The 22379-nt window shown below is 41.4% G+C and overlaps 4 annotated features.

Moving 5' to 3' along the window:
- Nucleotides 1268-1562: a silencer, noted in NCBI's record as "tiled region #654; HepG2 Repressive non-DNase unmatched - State 23:Low". NCBI's record gives its function as "represses a minimal TATA promoter and a strong SV40 promoter by Sharpr-MPRA in HepG2 cells {active_cell/tissue: HepG2}" and the evidence as "EXISTENCE:reporter gene assay evidence [ECO:0000049][PMID:27701403]".
- Nucleotides 5476-6037: an enhancer, noted in NCBI's record as "OCT4-NANOG-H3K27ac hESC enhancer chr12:11761757-11762318 (GRCh37/hg19 assembly coordinates)". NCBI's record gives its function as "activates a minimal SCP1, AML or CMV promoter by ChIP-STARR-seq in naive and primed H9 embryonic stem cells {active_cell/tissue: H9 hESC(naive and primed)}" and the evidence as "EXISTENCE:reporter gene assay evidence [ECO:0000049][PMID:30033119]".
- Nucleotides 6038-6599: an enhancer, noted in NCBI's record as "OCT4-NANOG-H3K27ac hESC enhancer chr12:11762319-11762880 (GRCh37/hg19 assembly coordinates)". NCBI's record gives its function as "activates a minimal SCP1, AML or CMV promoter by ChIP-STARR-seq in naive H9 embryonic stem cells {active_cell/tissue: H9 hESC(naive)}" and the evidence as "EXISTENCE:reporter gene assay evidence [ECO:0000049][PMID:30033119]".
- Nucleotides 6600-7161: an enhancer, noted in NCBI's record as "NANOG-H3K27ac hESC enhancer chr12:11762881-11763442 (GRCh37/hg19 assembly coordinates)". NCBI's record gives its function as "activates a minimal SCP1, AML or CMV promoter by ChIP-STARR-seq in naive H9 embryonic stem cells {active_cell/tissue: H9 hESC(naive)}" and the evidence as "EXISTENCE:reporter gene assay evidence [ECO:0000049][PMID:30033119]".

Consider the following 22379-nt stretch of genomic DNA (forward strand, 5'->3'; position numbering starts at 1 on the left):
TGGGCGTGGTAGCAGGCACCTGTAATCTCAGCTACTTGGGAGGCTGAGGCAGGAGAATTGCTTGAACCCGGGAGGCAGAGGTTGCAGTGAGCCGAGATTGTGCCACTGCACTCCAGTCCTGGGTCTCCATCTTTCCAGCACCCAACACCAGTTTTTTGTTGTTGTTGTTGTTGTTGTTTGTTTGTTTGTTTGTTTTGGGGGGTGGAGGGGTTGCTACCTGCTACCCAAGTGTTCAGAGAGTAATAGTTACTTTAGGTATTTATTATAGCAGTACTTTTTTCAAGGTATCAATTTTTTTATTAATTAGGGTAATGTTAGAGGCAGTAGATAATAGACCCCAAAATTTATGGCTCAAACTTAATAGATGTTTATTTCTCATTATTTTAACCACCCAAAGCATATGTCCCATTGGTGGTCATCTTTCCTCCATAGTGTGATTCAAGTATCTAGTCTTCTTCCATCTTGTGGCTCAGTCTTCCCCTAGAGCAACATCTGCAAATGAATCTAGCTGGTGGAAGGAGAAAGATAATGGAGAAAATATACCTTCTTCTTAAATCTTGACCTGAACATGCCACACCTCACTTCTGCTCATATTCCACAGATTAGAAGGAAGGAAGGAAGGCCACATCAGGTCCATGAGGAGACAAACTCCTTGTCTGAGCAGTTTCCAGTGACAAGTCCATTCTCTAAAGGGGAAGCACAAATTCTGGCAGACAGCTAGCTGTTTCTGATTTAAAAGGATAAGGATTGAATCTTGAATTACAGAAATTTAGTGGTGGGGGAAAATTTTTTTTAATAGCATTAAGTAGTTCCTCATAGGGTACCTCAGATCATAACATATCAGTAACCACCAACTCTGTCTCCTAAGTCTGTGCCTGTGTACTATTTTGAAATATTAGATTAAATATATATGACAAAAAATAGAACAAAAAACAAGAATAGGTGACAATGTTTTAAAAGTAGCCAGCATTGGTAGTAGTAATCATATAGTAGAAGTAGCTGGCATTATTTTTAGTGATTTCTATATACCAGGCACTGTATTGAGTACGTTTTAAGCATGATTTTATTTAAACCTTATTAGCATCCCCATGAGATGAGGAAATTTAGAGGTAAAATAACCTGCTGGGTTAAATAACGTCTAAAAATATCTCATTTCAGGGCCTGGTTCCTAACCATTGTAGAGGAGGAAAATAGTTTTTCTTCTACCTTCTTAGGTTTTCTAACTGGGGCCCTGGAAGTTAAACCAACAAAAGGTGGACTAACAAGAGAAAAACAGTTTCATACATACCTATGCATGGTACGTTCACAGATAAATGAGACTCAAGGAGGCAGCCAGATGATTGAGGCTTATGTATCATCACAGGCTAAGCAAAGGAAAAAAGGATTTGGGGCTTTGGGGTGAGGGAGGCAAGTATTAGGAAGGTGAGGGGAGGAAATAATTAGAGTTGTGTTGTTAAGCAGGTAAGAGTCTCTCAAGTGCTGAGTGCTGTCTCCAAGAGCAGCCCTCTCCCTTTTCAAATGAAAATTTCCTTTACAAAAGGGGAAATGTATACTCTACTTTCAGGCAGTCACAGGGAGACAGGAGCTTTTCCTGCATCGGATAGTTTTCAATTGGCTTTAACTCAAAATAATCTATATGACAAAGAGGCATATTTTGAGGTGGCATATTCATATACCCTGCATCATACCCCAATCATTTCTTCAACTTAATATTCAGCAATCCCTGGGATTTCTTGAAGAAAATACTTGAGAAGTACTGAACTAGGAGTTAACGATGATAGTGTAGGTGAATAGTTGGCAACACTTTAGTCATAAACAGAAATTCAAATGAATTACCTGAAACTGCACATTAGTCCTTGGTTAAGAGATTATAAAATGACTCAGACCTTGCTTTTAAAAAAATCATATATTTCTGGCCAGGTGTAGTGGCTCATGCCTGTAATCCCAGCACTTTGGGAGGCCAAGGTGGGCGGATCACAAGGTCAGGAGCTCGAGACCAGCCTGGCCAACATAGTGAAACCCCGTCTCTACTAAAAAAATACAAAAATTCACCAGGCATGGTGGCGCATGCCTGCAGTCCCACCTACTCAGGAGGCTGAGGCAGGAGAATCACTTGAACCCAGGAGGCGGAGGTTGCAGTGAGTCGAGATCGTGCCACTGCACTCCAGCCTGGGTGACAGAGTGAGACCCCATCTCAAAAAAAAAAAAAAAAAATCATATATTTCTATATAATCATGAAAATTAAGAAATCGAAGATTCTTGTAGAGAACTTATAGTTTGAGAGATGTCTCCCAATTCTATAAATGTGTGAATCCCTAATTTTATCAGTAATACTTCCTGCTACCTCAGAGAAATGCTAACTTGTTGGGAGAGTTTTTCTCTCCTTAATATTATTGATCCTTGACTTTCAAACCTTATGCTCTTTCTAATTTTTTTTTTTTTTTTTTTTTTTTAACAGGATCTCACTCTGTCACCCAGGCTGGAGGGCAGTGATGTAAACATAGCTCAAACTCCTGGACTTAAGTGGTCCTCCTGCCTCAGCATCCCGAGTAGCTGGGACTACAGGTATACACCACTACACCTGGCTAATTTTTAAATTTTTGTAGAGACAGGGTCTTGCTTTGTTGCCCAGGCTGGTCTCAAACTCCTGGGCTCAAGCAATCCTCCCACTTTGGCCTCCCAAAGTGCTGGGATTACAGGCATGAGCCACTGCACCTGGCCTCTCTTTCTAATCTTCAGGGTCATTTAGAAACTTATAGTCAATTCCACTGAAACACTGAAAGGTAAAGATTCTCAAGGTCCATGTATAGGGAGGAAATGATGGGCCCTATTCATGAGTGACCAAGGGTGATAAAAGAGAGAACATAAGCCGGTCAGTTTAACTAGAAAAAATTTGACAGCTCTTAGAAGAGAGAAGATGGAGGCCGGGCACGGTGGCTCACGCCTGTAATCCCAGCACTTTGGGAGGCTGAGGCGGGCGGATCACCTGAGGTCAGGAGTTCGAGACCAGCCTGGCCAACATGGTGAAACCCTGCCTCTACTAAAAATACATAAATTAGCTGGGCATGGTGGCAGGTGCCTGTAATCCCAGCTACTCGGGAGGCTGAGGCAAGAGAATCGCTTGAACCCAGGAGGCGGAGGTTGCAGTGAGCCAACATCACGCCATTGCACTCCAGCCCGGGTACAAGAGTGAGACTTCATCGCAAAAAAAAAAAAAAAAAGGGAGAGAAAGAGAGGATCAAGTCCCCAGATGGAGAGGAACTCAGACAGCAGGGTCCAGGCCCAAGGAAGACTACATTGTAGGAAATGACCAAAGGAACTCCTTTGGGGGAAATTTCTAAGGAAGGTGTCACTAAATGGGATATGACAGAAGTTAATAACTATCCTTCGGCTTTCGTGTTATTGTCAGGTACTTCCTCTATTTTTTTACTGTTTATCATTCATTCCTTTCCCTGGGCTTCTGAGCCTCAAGTGTTTTTTCACTGTTGCATTTCCTCCTACTTGGACCAGCTTATTTATTATTTGTTTGTTTGAGATGGAGTCTAGCTCTGTCACCCAGGCTGGAGTGCAGTGGCTCAATCTCAGCTCACTGCAACCTCCGCCTTCCAAGTTCAAGCAATTCTCCTGCCTCAGCCTTCCGAGTAGCTGGGATTACAGGCATGCACCACCACACTCAGCTAATTTTTGTATTATTAGTGGAGACAGGGTTTCACCATATTGGCAAGGCTGGTCTCGAACTCCTGGCCTCAAGTGATCCTTCTGCCTCAGCCTCCCAAAGTGCTGGGATTACAGGCGTGAGTCACCACGCCCAGCCTACTTAGACTAGTTTATAAATTAACATTATACAAAATATATGAAAGGACTACAAATGTGCATCCAGACAAAGGAACAGAGGAGTGTGTGTCACTCTGCAAGGAGGCTGCTTATTCCAGGACCTGCCTGCACCCCAGAGTCAGCCATCCAAGGAGATCACACACACTCTGCAGACACTGGTGATAAGGGTCTGGGAGCAACACACTAGGTTACTTTATGTCAGAGGCAAAGGGAAAAGAAATTGCACTTTCTTCTCATAACAAACTCCAGAGTGCTCACTTGGGAGACTGACAGCCCAACAAATACAAGTGACAAGGAAGCAATTTCAGGAATGTAATAAGGGAGAACTAGCTAGGTTTAAAATGTATTGCTAAAGAGTTATGCAATTTTTGACTTGTAAGAAACTTAAAGACCCCATCTCATCTAAAGGTCACAAACAGCAGCCTTGGAGCCAAATCTGGCCCACAGATGTGATGTGTTTTGTTTGGTGCATAGTTTGAATTAGTTGTCAGCATTTAAAAAAGAACAGTTCACATTTTTTAAAAGTCCAGATTCCTGATTACTGCTGGGAAACCAGAAAATCTGTGGATCCTACATTGCCAGCATTTCCCGGTGGCAGTACGAAAAGCCGAGCAGTGATCGTGCCCTTTGGACGTTGCTCGAGTCTGCAGTTTCCCACAGTCCCTGGCTGGCCTCCTTTAATTCATTTACATAATCTGTCTGGACTCTATTGGCAGCTTTTGAGTTTAAAGCCCTTGCTAAGCCAACCTGTTCATTTTTATAGATAAGAAAGCGAGGCCCTGAGAAGCCAAGTGACTCACCCAACCATACGCCTATGTTGGTGTCGTTTCCATACATTCCTTTTTCCATCCCATGCTTTCTCACTTACACGGTGAGGTTTATTTAGCAAAATTTTGAAAAGAGATTTGGAAAGCAAACATAAATGGTGAGGTTAAAGTCTGAAGAAACTATGTTGAAAGCCGGAAAACACAAAGGTGATGTTAAAAAGAGGATAATTTAGAGGCTCGCTAACTGGAACTCAAGAGACTTCCAATAGGAAATTGTTAATGAGAGGAAGTGGAAGGAAGAGAGAGGTTACAGGCATAATAAGAACAAATGAGAGAAGCGTGAGCTAAGGTAAGATGATGAGAGAGAGTAAAACAGGCACTGTTTTACTTGATCTGCTCCCATACAGAACAAAAGCAGCAGTTGACAGAAAGGAAACTGACAAAATAAATTTCAAAATAAAAACTGATCAGAAAAAAATTAGCAATTATAGGCCGGGCATGGTGGTTCACATCTGTAATCCCAGCACTTTGGGAGGCCAAGGCGGGCAAATCACGAGGTCAGGAGTTTGAGACCATCCTGGCCAACATGGTGAAACCCCGTCTCTACTAAAAATACAAAAAATTAGCTGGGCGTGGTGGTGGGCACCTGTAATCCCAGCCACTCGGGAGGCTGAGGCAGGAGAATTGCTTGAACCCGGGAGGCGGAGGTTGCAGTGAGCCAAGATTGCGCCACTGCACTCCAGCCCGGGCAACAATGTGAGACTCCATCTCAAAAAAAAAAGTATAAAAGATGTCTTGTTCAGATCTATTTATTTGGGGAAAAAAGACATGAAGAAAAGGAGAGGCAGCTTCTCAAGATTGCCTGAGATGTTATTAACAACAACAACAACAAAAAATGTAAACAAAAAACAATTTCAAAGGAGAGCCTCACCAAAAAAAGAGAATAATAATTTTAAAAATGGGGATAAAAAATAATTATCTCAAAAAAATCTCCACAAGAAAAAAAATAAAATTCTTCCTGAAACTGAAGCATACTAGAATATGCAACCCCAAAATATGTCACTTTGGCACACAGGTTATTTGGAGCTAAAGGCACTAGAGAACCAGCAGACCAAGTAAAAGCTCTTTACTTCCCCCTAATCACCTAACATGAACTATAACGTCCCCCTTTTGTACAGAAAATTTACATTTATAAAGGAAATTTCCATTTGTAAGGGAAGAGAGCTGCTCCTGGAGACAGTAGTTATCACCCGAGAGACTCTTATCTGCATAACAATACAACCGTTATTTACTATACATTTCTTCCCCTCACCTTCCTAGAACTTTCCTCCTCCCTTCAGCAGCCCAAAACCCCTTTTCCTCTGCTCAGCCTAAGATGGTACAGAAGCTTAAATCATCTGGCTGCCACTTTGAGTCTTAGTTCTTTGTGGAAACTTCCCTGCATAGGTATGTAATTTAGCCGTCCTTCTCTTGTTAGTTTGTCTTTTGTCAGTTTAATCTCCAAGGCCCCAGTCAGCGAACCTAGGAAAGAAGAGGGAAGTAGTCCTCCTCACCAAGAGTTTTGGCAACCATTAAGGGACAGCAAGGACATCTCACTTGCTCAGGAGGCTAAAGTTGAGATCCAGGATCTCTGACAAAGTCGGCAAAAGGCAAAAGTTCTTACTAAAGTCACCCTCCTGTATTTCTGTCTGTAGAGTCTGACTGAAGGAGGATAGTAGAAGTCTCTTTGTCTTTTCCTTTCCAAATTTGCATTAGCAAGAGAAAAATATTTGTAAAATTTAGTTCTTTGGATGGTGACTCTTGTAAATTTGGTTTTTTTCATGTGCGTCCATGTGAAGAGACCACCAAACAGGCTTTGTGTGAGCAACATGGCTGTTTATTTCATCTGGGTGCAGGCGGGCTGCGTCCGAAAAGAGAGTCAGCAAAGGTGGTGGATTATCATTAGTTCTTATAGGTTTTGGGATAGGCGGTGAAGTTAAGAGCAATGTTTTGCGGGCAGAGGGTGGATCTCACAAAGTACATTCTCAAGGGTATGGAGAATTACAAAGTACCTTCTTAAGGGTCGGGGAGATTACAAAGTACATTGATCAGTTAGGGTGGGGAAGAAACAAATCACAATGGTGGAATGTCATCAGTTAAGGCTATTTTTACTTCTTTTGTGGATCTTCAGTTACTTCAGGCCATCTGGATGTATACATGCAAGTGACAGGGGATGCGATGGCTTGGCTTGGGCTCAGAGGCCTGACATTCCTGCTTTCTTATATTAATAAGAAAAATAAAATACTGTTGAAGTCTTGGGGTGGCGAAAATTTTTGGGGGGTGGTATGGAGAGATAATGGGCGATGTTTCTCAGGGCTGCTTCGAGTGGGATTGGGGTGGCGTGGGAACCTAGAGTGGGAGAGATTAAGCTGAAGGAAGATTTTGTGGTAAGGGGTGATATTGTGGGGTTGTTAGAAGAAACATTTGTCATGTAGAATTATTGGTGATGGACTGGATACGGTTTTGTATGAATTGAAAAACTAAATGGAAAAGTCTAAGAATTGGGAGGACCTAGGACATCTGATTAGAGAGTGCCTAAGGAGATTCAGCATAGTCCTGCCAGTAAAGATTATTTATTTACTTCAAGAGTTAAGAGTGGCAGTTTGGGGATAGCACCAGGAGATATCAGCTGTGATGGCTCGGAGAAACAGTGTAAACCGGCAGTGTAAACAAGAGCAGGGCATGTATGAGTAGTTGAGAACGGAGAATAGGAGTATGACTAGACAGAAAATAGTAGGGATGACAAGTTTTTTGGGGCACAGTCTAAGTTGGTCCAGTGTCTGGAATGAGACTGGGGCCTAACAAAAAGGAGCTCAAATGGGCTGTACCTTGTAGCATTCCGAGGACAGGCCTGAATTCTGAGAAGCAAAAGTGGTAAAAGTATTGTCCTTTTTAATTTGGTGGCTGAGCTTGGTGAGGTGTGTTTTTAAAAGACCTTTAGTCCGTTCTACTTTTCTTAAAGATGGAGGACCATAAGGGATATAAAGGTTTCCTGAATACTAAGAGCCTGAAAAACTGCTTGGCTGATTTGACTAATAAAGGCTGGTCTGTTATCAGACTGTATAGAGGTGGGAAGGCTAAACTGAGGAATTATGTCTGACAGAAGGGAAGAAATGACTGCGGTGGCCTTCTCAGACCCTGTAGGAAAGGCCTCTACTTATCTAGTGAAAGTGTCTACTTAGACTAAGAGGCATTTTAGTTATCTGACTTGGGGCATGTTGAGTAAAGCTAATTTGCCAGTCCTGGGTGGGGGCAAATCTTCAAGCTTGATGTGTAGGGAAGGGAGGGGGCCTGAATAATCCCTGAGGAGTAGTAGAATAGCAGATGGAACACTGAGAAGTTATTTCCTTGAGGATAGATTTCCACAATGGAAAGGAAATGAGAGGTTCTAAGAGGCGGGCTAGTGGCTTGTACTATAGCATAGCCTGCCTTTGCTGGTGTGTGGCGATTAGGCCTGGTGGAACTGCCATCAATAAATCAAGCGTGATCAGGGTGAGGAACAGGAAAGAAGGAAATATGGGGAAATGCGGTGAATGTCAGGTGGATCAGAGAGATACAGTCATGGGGGTCAGGTGTGGTATCAGGAATAATGTGGGAGGCCAGATTGAAGTCCGGGCCAGGAAGAATGGTAATTGTGGGACTTAACAAAGAGTGAGTACAGCTGAAGGAGCCAGGGAGCAGAAAGTATATGCATCAGGTATGAGGAAGAAAATAGATTTTGGAAGTTACGAGAAATGTGGAGAGTAAGTTGAGCATCGTTTGTGATTTTGAGGGCCTCTAAAAGTATTAGGGCGGCAGCAGCCACTGCACGGAGACATGACGGCTAGGCTAAAACAGTAAGGTCAAGTTGTTTGGACAGAAAGGCTACAGGGTGCGGTCCTGGCTCTTGTGTAAGAATTCTGACCGCACTAACTATGCCTAGGAAGGAAAGGAGTTGTTGTTTTGTAAGGGATTGAGGTTTGGGAGATTAATCGAACATGATCAGCTGGGAGAGCACGTGTGTTTTTATGAGCATTATGCTGAGATAGGTAACAGATGAGGAAGAAATTTGGGCTTGACTGAAGTAATGGGGGCTGTCTGTGAAGCCTTGCGGCAGTACAGCCCAGGTAATTTGCTGAGCCTAATGGGTGTCAGGGTCAGTCCAGGTGACATCGAAGAGAGGCTGGGATTAAGGGTGCAAAGGAATAGTAAAGAAAGCATGTTTGAGATCCAGAACAGAATAAGGGATTGTGGAGGGAGGTATTGAGGATAGGAGAGTATATGGGTTTGGCACCATGGGGTGGATAGGCAAAACAATTTGGTTGATAAGATGCAGATCCTGAACTAACTTGTAAGGCTTGTCTGGTTTTAGGACAGGTAAAATGGGGGAATTGTAAGAAGAGTTTATAGGATTTAAAAGGCCACGCTGTAGCAGGCGAGTGACAACAGGCTTTAATCCTTTTAAAGCGTGCTGTGGGACGGGATCTTGGCATTGAGCGGAGTAAGGGTGATTAGGTTTTAATGAGATGGTAAGGGGTGCATGATCGGTCGCCAAGGAGGGAGTAGAGGTATCTTATACTTGTGGGTTAAGGTGGGGAGATACAAGAGGAGGACGCAAAGGAGGCTTTGGATTGGGAAGAAGGGCGGCAATGAGATGTAGCTGTAATCCAGGAATAGTCAGGGAAACAGATAATTTAGTTAAAGTGTCTCGGCCTAATAAGGGAACTGGGCAGGTGGGGATAACTAAAAGGAGTGCTTAAAAGAGTATTGTCTAAGTTGGCACCAGAGTTGGGGAGTTTTAGTTTAGAAGCCTGGCTGTCAATACGCACAACACTTATGGAGGCAAGGGCAACAGGCCCTTGAAAAGAAGGTAATGTGGAGTGGGTAGCCTCCGTATTGATTAAGAAGGGGACGGACTTACCCTCCACTGTGAGAGTTACCTAAGGCTCGGCGTCCGTGATGGTCTACGGGGCTTCCAAGGCTATCAGGCAGCGTCAGTCTTCAGCCGCTAAGCCGAGAAGGAGTCAGTCAGAGAGCCTTCGGCCAGAGTTCCAGGGGCTCTGGGAGTGGCTGCCAGGTGAGTTGAACAGTCTGATTTCCAGTGGGGTCCCGCACAGATGGGACATGGCTTAGGAGGAATCCTGGGCTGCAGGCATTCCTTGGCCTGGTGGTCAGATTTCTGGCACTTGTAGCAAGCTCCTGGGGGAGGAGGTTCTGGTGGAATGCCGGGCTGCTGCGGTTCAGGCGTTTGGAAGTTCTTATGTGCTGGAGATGTGGCTGGGGTTTGTCTCACAGTGGAGGCAAGGAATTGCAACTTTTTTCTATTATTGTACACCTTGAAGGCGAGGTTAATTAAATCCTGTTGTGGGGTTTGAGGGCCGGAATTTAATTTTTGGAGTTTTATTTAATGTCGGGAGCAGATTGGGTAATAAAATGTATATTGAGAATAAGACGGCCTTTTGACCTTTTAGGGTCTAGGGCTGTAAAGTGTCTCAGGGTTGCTGCCGAACGAGCCATGAACTGGGCTGGATTTTTATATTTGATGAAAAAGAGCCTAAACGCTATCTGATTTGGGATAAAGAAAAAGGAGCATTAACCTTGACTATGCCTTTAGCTCCAGCCACCTTTTTAAGAGTAAATTGCTGGGCAGGAGGGGGAGGGCTAGTCATGGAACGAAACTGTAAGCCGGACCGGGTGTGAGGAGGGGAGGTGATAAAAGGATTATAGGGTGGAGGAGCAGAGGCTGAGCAAGAATTGGGACCTAGCTCAGCCTGGTGAGGAGCAGCCTGGGGAGAAGGGAAGAGGTCAGATGGGTCTGTAGAAAAGGAAAATTAGAAAGACTCAGCGACGCTTGGGGTTGGGACTGAGGGGACAGGTGGGAGGGAAAGAAGGAAGATTTGTGATGAGTTGCATTGGGAACAGAGACTGGAAAGGGACCGATGTGTAAAAGAGTGCCTGGACGTCAGGCATCTCAGACCATTTGCCTATTTTACGACAAGAATTATTTAGATCTTGCAGGATGGAAAAATTGAAAGTGTCGTTTTCTGGCTATTTGGAACTACTGTCGACTTTGTATTGGGGTCAAGCGGCATTGCAGAAGAAAATAAGACACTTAGATTTTAGGTCAGGTGAGAGTTGAAGAGGTTTTAAGTTCTTAAGAACACAGGCTAAGGGAGAATAAGGAGAAATTGAGGGTGGAAGGTTGCCCATAGTGAAGCCCAGAGAAAAGAGAGAGTAGAGACATGGAGGGAAGGGGTTCGGGGGTTCTTACCCTCCAGAAAAGCGGGAAAGGGGTCAGGGCACAGAGATACGAGGTCGGGGTGCGGACATAAGGGATTGGGGCGCAGAGATATGAGGTTGGGGTGCGGAAATAAGGGATCGGGGCACAGAGATATAAGGGGTTGGGGTACTTGCCCCTTCCCCAGAAAAGCGGGACTTGCCGCTAAGGGTGAAGGACCAAGGCAGGCGTCCCTGCGTGGTCTGACACCTGAATAATCAGAAAGGCATCCCAGCAATGATTAAACACCAAGGGAAGGCTGCCTTCCCTATTCCGTGACTGGTGCCGGAGTTTTGGGTCCACGGATAAAACGTGTCTCCTTTGTCTCTACCAGAAAACAAAAGGAATTGAAATTAAGAGAAGGGAGAGATTGAAGAGTGGAAAGGAGAAAGTGGTTGAGGGTTTAGTGAGAGAGGTTGGAGAAGAGAGTAAGAAGAGGCCGCTTACCCGATTTAAAATTGGTGAGATGTTCCTTGGGCTGGTTGGTCTGAGGACCTGAGGTCATAGGTGGATCTTTCTCATGGAGCAAAGAACAGGAGGACAGGGGATTGATCTCCCAAGGGAGGTCCCCCGATCTGAGTTACGGCACCAAATTTCATGTGCGTCCGTGTGAAGAGACCACCAAACAGGCTTTGTGTGAGCAACATGGCTGTTTATTTCACCTGGGTGCAGGCGGGCTGAGTCCCAAAAGAGTCAGCAAAGTGTGGTGGATTATCATTAGTTCTTATAGGTTTTGGGATAGGCGGTGAAGTTAAGAGCAGTGTTTTGCGGGCAGAGGGTGGATCTCACAAAGTACATTCTCAAGGGTGGGGAGAATTACAAAGTACCTTCTTAAGGGTCAGGGAGATTACAAAGTACCTTCTTAAGGGTGGGGGAGATTACAAAGTACATTGATCAGTTAGAGTGGGGAAGAAACAAATCACAATGGTGGAATGTCATCATTTAAGGCTATTTGTACTTTTGTGGATCTTCAGTTACTTCAGGCCATCTGGATGTATACATGCAAGTGACAGGGGATGCGATGGCTTGGCTTGGGCTCAGAGGCCTGACAGTTTTGAGTACTCATTGGTTACTGATCTCTAGCTTCCTAAGAATAGTCATTGTTTTCCTTTGTTTCTGTCCTTTGTGTGATTTATTATAATGAGGAGAATAGTCATAGTTTTGGAGAATTGTCATAGTTATAGGCATAGGCCCTATAAGCCTGCTGTTTAAGCCAGCTTCACAGACCCTTGAGTTTACAGTTTATGCTAGAGCAGCATCCATTTAGACAAACTTTGCTGCGGACAACCAATGGGAAAAAACTGGATGAGATTCTTCTTTTATCTCATTTTGTGTTCTGAGAGTTTAGCTTTGTGACTACTATGGTCTCTGGTAATCAGTCTGGTTTCTGCCAGCTGAGATGGCAAGGTTGTCACACTTGAATTGGGCAGCTAGCCAACCAGCTAGGAACCCAAAGCACAAAATGCACAAGCAGCATTTTCTTTGACCAAATCTTGCAGCTGTCAGGAGAGTTTGCCTTAATAAGGCACCCCAGTCCATTGGGGCCTTTATTGTCATTCTTTGTTGCCTTGTTTGTGCTGGGAAAAGTACCATCCCAGTATTACCTACCTGATATCACAGATTAGTGAGTCTGTGATTGAAGGCATCTCACTTTTATGGGAGACTGTAGTTTCCTTATTGACTGCGACAATGAATTTCTTTGCTTTTCAGGCTATCTTTGGGAGTAACTCTGAATCTTGGGGAGGAGGAGTGGGTACTGCCTCCTTTGAACCCTCTTTGGGAAGGTCTCTTATGTCTATGGTTAAGCTGTAAAAAAGCTGATTGGTTTAGAGTCACATTGGACTAGGTATACCTTTGAAAATTTGGACTTTATATCCAAAGGGATTTTTTTAAGAGAGCTTGCACCCTAAAACAAATGTCCTACTGGTACTGATAGGAAAATCAGATTGCAAGAAAGACAAAAAAAATTTTAATAACTATTTGGAAACAAACTAGACAAAAATCTTAAAAGTCTTGTGTATTATTTCATTCTCACATTGGTATAAAGAAATATCCAAGACTGGGCCGGGCGCGGTGGCTCATGCCTGTAATCCCAGCACTTTGGGAGGCTGAGGCGGGCAGATCACGAGGTCAGGAAATCGAGACCATGGTGAAACCCCGTCTCTACTAAAAATACAAAAAAAATGGCCAGGCACCCTAGCTCACACCTGTAATCCCAGCACTTTGGGAGGCCGAGGCGGGCGGATCACAAGGTCAGGAGATCGAGACCATCCTGGTCTAACTCGGTGAAACCCCATCTCTACTAAAAATACAAAAAATTAGCCAGGCGTGGTGGTGGGCACCTGTGGTCCCAGCTACTCGGGAGGCTGAGACAGGACAATGGCGTGAACCCGGGAGGTGAGGCTCACAGTGAGCCGAGATCATGCCACTGCACTCTGGCATGGGTGACAGAGCGAGACTCCATCTCAAAAAAAAAAAAGAAAAAAAAGAAATATCCAAGACTGGATAATTTAGAAAGAAAGAAGGCTTAATTGGCTCATGGTTCTGTAGGCTGTACAGGAAGCGTAGCTGTTTCTGCTTCTAGGGAGGCCTCAGGGAGCTTACAGTCATGGCAGAAGGTGAAGGGGAAGCAGGCAGGTCTTACATGGTCAGAACAGGAGGAAGATGGTGGGGAGATGTGTGCTATACACTTTTAGAAAAGCCAGATCTCATAACTCACTTACTCACTATCATAAGAACAGCATGGAGGGGATGGTACTAAACCATTTATGAGGAATCCGCCCATGATCCCATCACTTCCCACCAGGCCCTACTGCTGACACTTGGGTTAATAGCTGAACATGAGATTTGGTGGGGACACAGGTCCAACCATATCATCTTCTCTACAAATACTGGTGAAAGATTATAGCCATTATTTAGAAGTTTACCTTAACTTGTTCCATCTGCCAAGAACACAAAGTGGATCCAAATATTTTACATAAACTAGTGAGTTTTGTAATATGATGCCTGACTCATGGTTAAAAGTTTAAAATGAAAGCTATGAGATTTCTATTGGCATCTGTGTGCTTACATATGCTTATGTGTGTATTTTGCATATTGATCGTTTTCTACCTCCGGATGGTATTGCCAAAATTTATCAAAGAGCTCTGCATTAATTGGCTTAGAAAACAATAACTGCTCATATACATTAAGTATTATTAAAATCCTCAGAAAAAATAGAAATTAACCCAAAATTTGTTTTCAAATTCACATGCTCTGGGCTAATCTTTGGTAAATAACACTAGTTCAGTATTGTTAGTTAAATACAAATAGGTATTTCTCTAGATTTGTCAGCATTCAATATAATGTAGACATGCAATTTTATTCTACTTGAGTTTACTAGCCAAATAAGCTGATGTTATCTCTATTTGATGTTTTGGATTATAAAATTATAATTCAACCAAAGAATCAAATGTACAATAAAAATGAATTGCTTGATGTATGTCAAAGATGGCAGTTAAGAAGAAAGACAGAGAGCGAGAGCAATATAATTAACTTTTAGGTTCTTTACTTCTGTGATTTTTGATAGCTACCTCACATGCCTGTCACAAATTTGTTAACAAGAAAATAAACTTTAGATGATGATTAGCTTTATTTAATCTTGCATGAAATTTTCATCAATAATCCAAACATAATTGTTAGGAACAAGTTAATTAAATAGATGTAAGTGGGATAAAACTCTATAGCTGAACTTTCAACAATAGTTATGTTTTATAATATGTCTGCTTAAATATAGTATCTAAAATCTTTCTGGTAACCTAAAACCTCAAAGATATAGAAAGTTTAGTTAAATGAGAGATAGTCATCAAATATTTGATCATTTCTATATATGATATAATACTGAAAATTTAATTAAGTTTATCTATATTTGGCTTCTTATTACAGAGAGACTAAATAATATTTAAGTCTGTTAGTCAACATATTCTTCTTGCCACACTGAAAAAGTGTACTATGAGGAAACACATGCCTCTAGAAATTGTGAAAGGGTGTATTCATAAATATGCTAATCTACAGAATGCCCCTATATATAACAGTTCACAATTTCCTACTTCCTTGTTTTCACTGGAAATTAAGGTATTAATCATTGAAAACTCTAATCAATATACATAAATGAACTATTAGGAATAATAAGGGTGAAGGAGAAAAGTCTACATGCAAAGTATACAAAGAAACTAAGATGTGTTGGGCACAGGGAGGGGAACATCACACACCAGGGCCTGTGAGGGGGTCGCGGGCAAGGGGAGGGAAAGCGTTAGGACAAATACCTAGTTCATGCAAGGTTTAAAACCCAGATGACAGGTTGATAGGTGCAGCAAACCACCATGGCACATGTATACCTAGATAACAAACCTGCACGTTCTGCACATGTATCCCAGAACTTAAAGTAAAATAAATTTAAAAAAAGTAAGATGTGTTTTGACAAGGAAATATATGAAGTATGAAGGATGCATTTTTGTTAAGGAAAAGGGAGAGTAATTTTGTCCTACAGTAGTTTAATGTTATTTAAAGATTATTTCAGAGTGAGAAAGAGGAAAATAAAGGACAAAAACTAGGCAGGTATAGGAAATTGTCAAAGGAGAGAGAGAGAATTTTGTGTAGTCAAATATCTAAAATGGGCTGGGCACAGTGGCTCAGGCCTGTGATCCCAGCACTTTAGGAGGCCAAGACAGGACGATCACTTTAGACTGGGAGTTTGAGACCAGCCTACACAACACAGAGAGACCTGAGACCCTGTAAATTAGCCAGACGTGCTGGCATGTCCCTCTAGTCCCAGCTACTCTGGAGGTAGGAGGATCACTTGAGCCCAGGAGTTTGAGGCTGCAGTGAGCTATGATCGTGCCACTGCACTCCAGCCTGGGCAACAGAGTGAGAACTTGTCTCTAAAAAAAAAAATAATAAAAAATAATAAAATTATTATAAATAATAAAATTAAATGGATTTATTAAAATGTTTAAAAATAAACTCTAATATCAATAGTGTGCTGATGCAGAACTGGAATTTGGATTGTTGATTTGTTCCTAATAAGAGATCATAAAAGGGTTTCTTTATCTGTTGAGTACTTTGCATAGGAAACAAAGATTCTGTGACTTACCAGAAATAATTTCCCACATGTAGTCCCAGCTACTTGGGAGGTTGAGGCAGGAGGAACCCAGGAGTTTAAGGCTGCAGCGAGCTATGATCACAGCACTGCACACTAGCATGGGTGACAGAGCAAGACCCCAAATCTTTTTAAAAATTTAATAATTTCTTATGCTTAATGTTGTCTTTACCATATCTTTGATTACTTTTTTAAAAAAGAGTCTTCTCACTATGGAAAAAGCTAAGGTTTTGTTTTGGTTTTGGTTTTTTACAATTATGTGACCTTCTGTATTTACCTTTACAGTAATATTTTCCCTTTGATTAAATAGATAACTAAGTATTGTTTCATAGTTACCTGTTATCCTGTTTTATCAAGGGTTCAAACCTTTTGCAATTTTTGATAGTCTTCCCCAAATCAAATTCTAAAGTCTTTTAAAATTTTTTTTGTTAAATTTTATTTTTTAAAATTTTTATTTATTTATTTATTTATTTATTTGAGACAGAGTGTCACTCTTTTTGCCCAGGCTGGAGTGCACTGGCACAATCTCGGCTCACTGCGACCTCCGTCTCCTGGGTTCAAGCGATTCTCCTGCCTCAGTCTCCCGAGTAACCGGGATTACAGGCACCCACCCCGCCCAGCTAATTTTTTTGTATTTTTAGTAGAGATGGGGTTTCACCATGTTTGGCCAGGCTGGTCTTGAACTGACCTCAGGTGATCCACCCACCTCGGCCTCCCAAAGTGCTGGGCTTACAGGCATGAGCAACCGCACCTGGCCCTTCCTCGTTTTTTTGTTTGTTTGTTTGTTTTTGGTAGAGATGGGGTCTCTCTGTGTTGCTCAGGTTGGTCTTGAACTCCTGGCCTTGAGTGATCCTCCCACCCTGGAGCAAAGAGCTGGGATCACAGGCGCATGAGCCACTGTGCCCAGCCTGATTCTGTAGTTTTGTTTTTTTTTTACTTTTGTTGTTGTTGTCTGTTTGTTTTTTGAGACAAGGTCTCACTCTGTCACTCAGGCTAGAGTGCAGTGGCGCAGTCTTGGCTCAGTGCAGCCATAACCTCCCAGATGCAAGTGATCCTCCCAGCGCAGGCTCCCAACTAGCTGGAACTACAGACATGCACCACCACGTCTGGCTAATTTTTGTATTTTTGGTAGAGATGGGGTTTCACCGTGTTACCCAGGCTGGTCTCAAACTCCTGAGCTAAAGTGATCTACCTGCCTCGGCCTCCCAAAGTGTTGGGGTTACCGGCATGAGCCACTGCGCTGGCCCTAGTCTTTTTCACTTTGAACTAACTTTGACATTCCACAGAACTCTCCTTGAAAATCTCAAAGGATTTGCTCTTTCACATTGAAAAAAAGAGATGTTACACTAATTAGATTTATTTGATACGCTAAATTACATGAGAATCATCGTCAACTAAAATATGATGCTTAACCTTCTTTATGTTATATTTGTATAGGTACGTAATTAATATGTGTTTCAAAACTGTATAAAGTTCCTAGATATTTATCAATCTTTGCTGTTCATATGTCCTGATACAGTGTTATCTGGACAGTTACTATTATAAAATGCTGTAAGCCACAGAAATAACCAAATTTCCTTGTTAATTGCACTATAATGAACTCTCATCAGATCTTTAATCATGGTTATTTGTAAGTCTTTTGCCATTCACAGCCAATTATTGTTTTATGATAATTCTTCTCTGAATGCTTTTGCAATCAACAAGTGAAAATGCTTCATCTTCCCAGAGACCATGGAAAAGACTCAGAGAGGTATTCTCAAGTATTTAAGATTATACCACTGGATTGGGTAAAGATTTCCAAAACACTAAAGAAGAAACATGAATTCATAAAGCTGCAAATACAGCATCAAGCAAAACAAGAATTAATTCCATGGGACTGAATGAACTGATAAGAATAATTCTAATGTGTATGGCCCTTTTGTTTGAAACATTACTGGTTCCTTAATGTTTTTCCATATTTAAGAAACCCTTTTTCTCTGTTTTCTTAAGCTATCTATAACTTACAGTAACTTGGTAAAGTATACCTTTGTGAACAAAGATGAAAAGATAAAACATTTACTTTTTTTGAGACAGGGTCTCACTCTATCATCTGGGCTGGAGTGCAGTGGTGCGATCACAGCTCACTGCTTCCTTGAACTCCTGGGCTCAAGCAATCCCCCAACCTCAGCTTCCCAAGTAGCTGGGACTATAAATGTGCATCACCATGCCCAGCTATTTTTTTTTTTTTTAAGAGATGAGAGTTTCACTGTGTTGCCCAGGCTGAAGTGATCCTCCAGTGAAGTGATCCTCCAGTTTCAGCCTCCCAAAGTGCTGGGATTACAGATGTGAGCCACCATGCCCCGCCAGAAACATTCACTTTTTCTCCCCACCCGATCCTTCCAGAATTCGGAAATCTTTATTGAATATTCTTATTTTCATGGTGATGTATTTACATATGTTCAGTAAGAATCTCTTGTCCTTATAACAGAATGCAATTTGAAATATTACTTATATTAGCAAGGCTTTCACTGGAATATCATATTTTAGGATGATGCACATAAAATCAGATAACATCAGACAGTTTTAAGGAACTGTCAGAAGCACTTGAACAAGAGCAACTCCATCTTGAATAGGGGCTGAGTAAAATGAGGCTGAGACCTACTGGGCTGCATTCTCAGATGGTTAGGCATTCTAAGTCACAGAATGAGATAGGAGGTCGGCACAAGACACAGGTCATAAAGACCTTCCTGATAAAAACAAGTTGCAGTAAAGAAGCCGGCCAAAACTCACCAAAACCAAGATGGTGATGAGAGTGGCCTCTGGGTGTCCTCACTGCTACACTCCCACCAGCACCATGACAGTTTACAGATGCCATGGCAACGTCAGGAAGTTACACTGTATGGTCTGTAAAGGGGAGGCATGAATAACCCATCCCTTGTTGAGCATATCATCAAGAAATAACCAGCAGTGCTGGCGCTGATCTGTCTATGGAGTAGCCATTCTTTCATTCCTTTACTTTCTTAATAAACTTACTTTCACTGTAATCTATGAACTCGCCCCAAATTCTTTCTTGCTTGAGATCTATGAACCCATTCTGGGGGTCTAGATCAGGACCCCTTTCTGGTAACAAAACTAATGCTGACTTTATGAAGCCAGTGCTTAAAAAGCCCCTTGAAATATTGGCCTGGTACCTGATTAACAGGGTTCCCAACCTAACAGGTGAGTAAAAAAGGTCACTTCTTGGTAGGCCCAGGAAGCTGAAAATATTTTGGGGACCTCAAGAAAAAAGGAATTCACCCAAATCTGTAGGTATTGCTGGTGAAGGCTGATGGATTGGTTTCCAGCTTTGATAGGCTTTAACAGTCTAACCTGAAATTCCTTATTAAAAGTTGCAACAAAGCAGACTCAAAAAGAGCTTACATTGTCAATCATTATTCTTGCTATTTTTATGTAATAATCAGGCCAAGGTCAATGAGATTGACTTATTTTGCAACAAAAATAGTGTTACTTTGATTATCTTTCATAGAAATAGGGGTGATTGTAGAGAGAACTATGCTGTTTCAATTGAAAACTATAGCACACCCTTGTGGATTGTCAAATTCTAGCCGTGTTCACTGCCTTTCAGCTTTTTTAACCTCTCTGTAAACTGACTCCTGCTGTGTTTTGCATTTTGTCAGTAATTAACATTTCTGATTTTAATCTCACCTGATTTGGCACCACTGAGAACTAAAACCTGACTGCCTAGATCCGTATTGACACTACCCAGAAAAAGCCCTGCAAGCTGAAACTGGGCCCTTCCGTGCTCTGCTCTGAGAAATAACCATAACTGTCACATTGTATATGCCATTCCCAGAGACATTCAAACCACAAACCCAGAAACACTTCAGACTGCCACGGCCCGTCCTCCTTCTATCACCTAGAGATGCGTTGAGCCCAACATTCAGAAATCTTCTCAACTGATTGCCCTCTGGCCTCAGAAACTGGGTTTATAAACAGTTCTATCTATTAACCTTGGTTTTCTTTTGTTTCCATAGAAAGGTCCTCATTAAATGTCTTACAGCACCATATAGAGACCTAACCGGTGGGCACCCTATTCCCTCTGGCAACACAATCTCTTGAGATACAACTTTCTGAGTAAACTGAACTCTTATACACTGTTGGTAGGAATGTAAGCTATTCCCAGGACTGAGAGACTGGTTCAGTGAGATGGGGCAATGTGTTTAAATTTGTCCTTTTCTGCTTACTCACTCTCGTTCCAATCTGTTTTCCTTCCCTTTGCAGATCTCTTATCTTGCAACACCTAATCCGAATCTCTCTCAACAGCTACAAACTTGGCTTTTGATGTATGAAACGTCCTGAGAAAAAGAAAGTTTCAAAGGGTGGGATAAAGGGTTCCAGAATATGCCACCCAATATATGGATTATTTTGAGCTAAAAGCAACTGAGAACCAACAGACACAGGAAAGGCTCTTTCTGTCCCCTAACTGCCTAAAAGCAGAATATAAATTTCCCCTTTTGTAAAGGAAATTTATATTTATAAAGTAAATTTCTCTTGGTGAAGATTCCTCTGTACCAGAAAGAGAGCTAGGCCTGGGGATAACCCATCACCTGAGACACTCTTACCTGCATAACCCTTATTTACATACACGTATACATTTCCTGCCTTACTTTCTCAGGACTTGTCTTCTCTACTCAGAAGCCCCAAACCCCTTTCCCTTTGTTTAGTCTGAGATGCTATATAAGCTTCAATCATCTGGGTCTCCTTGAGTCTTTTCTTTGTGATACTCCCACGTGTATGTATGCACATAATTAATCTGTTTTTTTCCTCTTGTTAATCTATGTTTTGTTAGTTTAATTTCCAGGGCCTCAGCCATAGAATCTATTGGGTAGAAGGAGAAAAAGTTATTTGTCTCCCCTAGAAGCCAAAATGCAGTCCTAGCCATAGCAATCAAGCAAGAGAAAGAAAAAAAAAAAAGGCATCCACATTGGAAAAGAGGAAGTCAAGTTGTCTCTCTTTGCAGATGACATGATTTTATATATATGTATATATATATGTATATATATACATATATATATACATATATATACATATATATATACATATATATACATATATATACATATATATATGTATATATATACCTAAAGACTCCAATTTAAAAAAAAAAAACCTCTAAGAACTGATAAATTCAGTAAGGTTGCAGGATACAAAATCAACATACAAAAATCAGTAGTGTTCTATACACCAATAACAAAGTAGCTGAAAAGAAAATCAAGAAAATAATCACATTTACAGTAGCTACAAAAATAATAAAATATCTAGGAATAGATTTAATCAAGGAGGTGAAAGACCTCTACAGGGAAAACTATAAAACACTAATGAAAGAAACTGAAGAGGAAACAAACAAATGAAAAGACATCCCACACTCATGGATTGAAAGAATTAATATTGCTAAAATGAACATACTATCCAAAGCAACCTACAGATTTAATGCAATTCCTACCAAAATATCAATGACATTCTTCACAGATATTTTTTTTAAATCCTAAAAATCATATGGAACCACAAAAGACCCTGAATAGCCAAAGCAGTCAGGACTTAAGCAAAAAGCACAAAGCTGGAGGCATTACACTACCTAACTTTAAAATACACTACAAAACTACAGTAGCCAAAACAGCATGGAATTGATATAAAAACAGACACATAGACCACTGGAACAGAATAGAGAGAGCCAAGAAGTAAATCCACGTATTTATAGCCAACTGGTTTTTACAAAGACACTAAACACATTGGGAAAAGGACACCATCTTCAGTAAATGGTGCTGGGAACTCGGTAACCATATGCAGAAAAATAAAGCTGGACCCCTGTCTCTCACCCTATACAAAAATTAACTCAAAATGGGTTAAAAAGTTAAACCTAAGAGCAGAAACTATAAAACTACTAGAAGAAAACATAGGGAAACACTCCAGGACATCAGTCTAGGCAAAGATTTTATGGCTAAAACCTCCAAAACACAGGCAACAACAACAAAAATAGACAAATGGGACTATATTAAGCTAAAAACTTCTTCACTGCAAAGGAAACAATCAATAGATTGAAGAGACAACCTGTAGAATAGAAAAAACTATTTGCAAACTATTCATCCAACAAGGGTCTAATTTCCAAAATTTACAAGGAATTCACACAATTTAACAGCAAAAATATAAATAATCCAACTAAAAAGTGGGCAAAAGATCTGGATAGACATTTCTCAAAAGCAGACATATAAATGGCTAAAAGTTATACGAAAAATGTTCAATATCACTAGTCATCAGGAAAACACAAATCAAAATTGCAATAAGAAATCATCCACTCCAGTTAGAATGG

This window comes from Homo sapiens, chromosome 12 (genome assembly GCF_000001405.40).
Source record: "Homo sapiens chromosome 12, GRCh38.p14 Primary Assembly".
Lineage (NCBI taxonomy): Eukaryota > Metazoa > Chordata > Mammalia > Primates > Hominidae > Homo > Homo sapiens.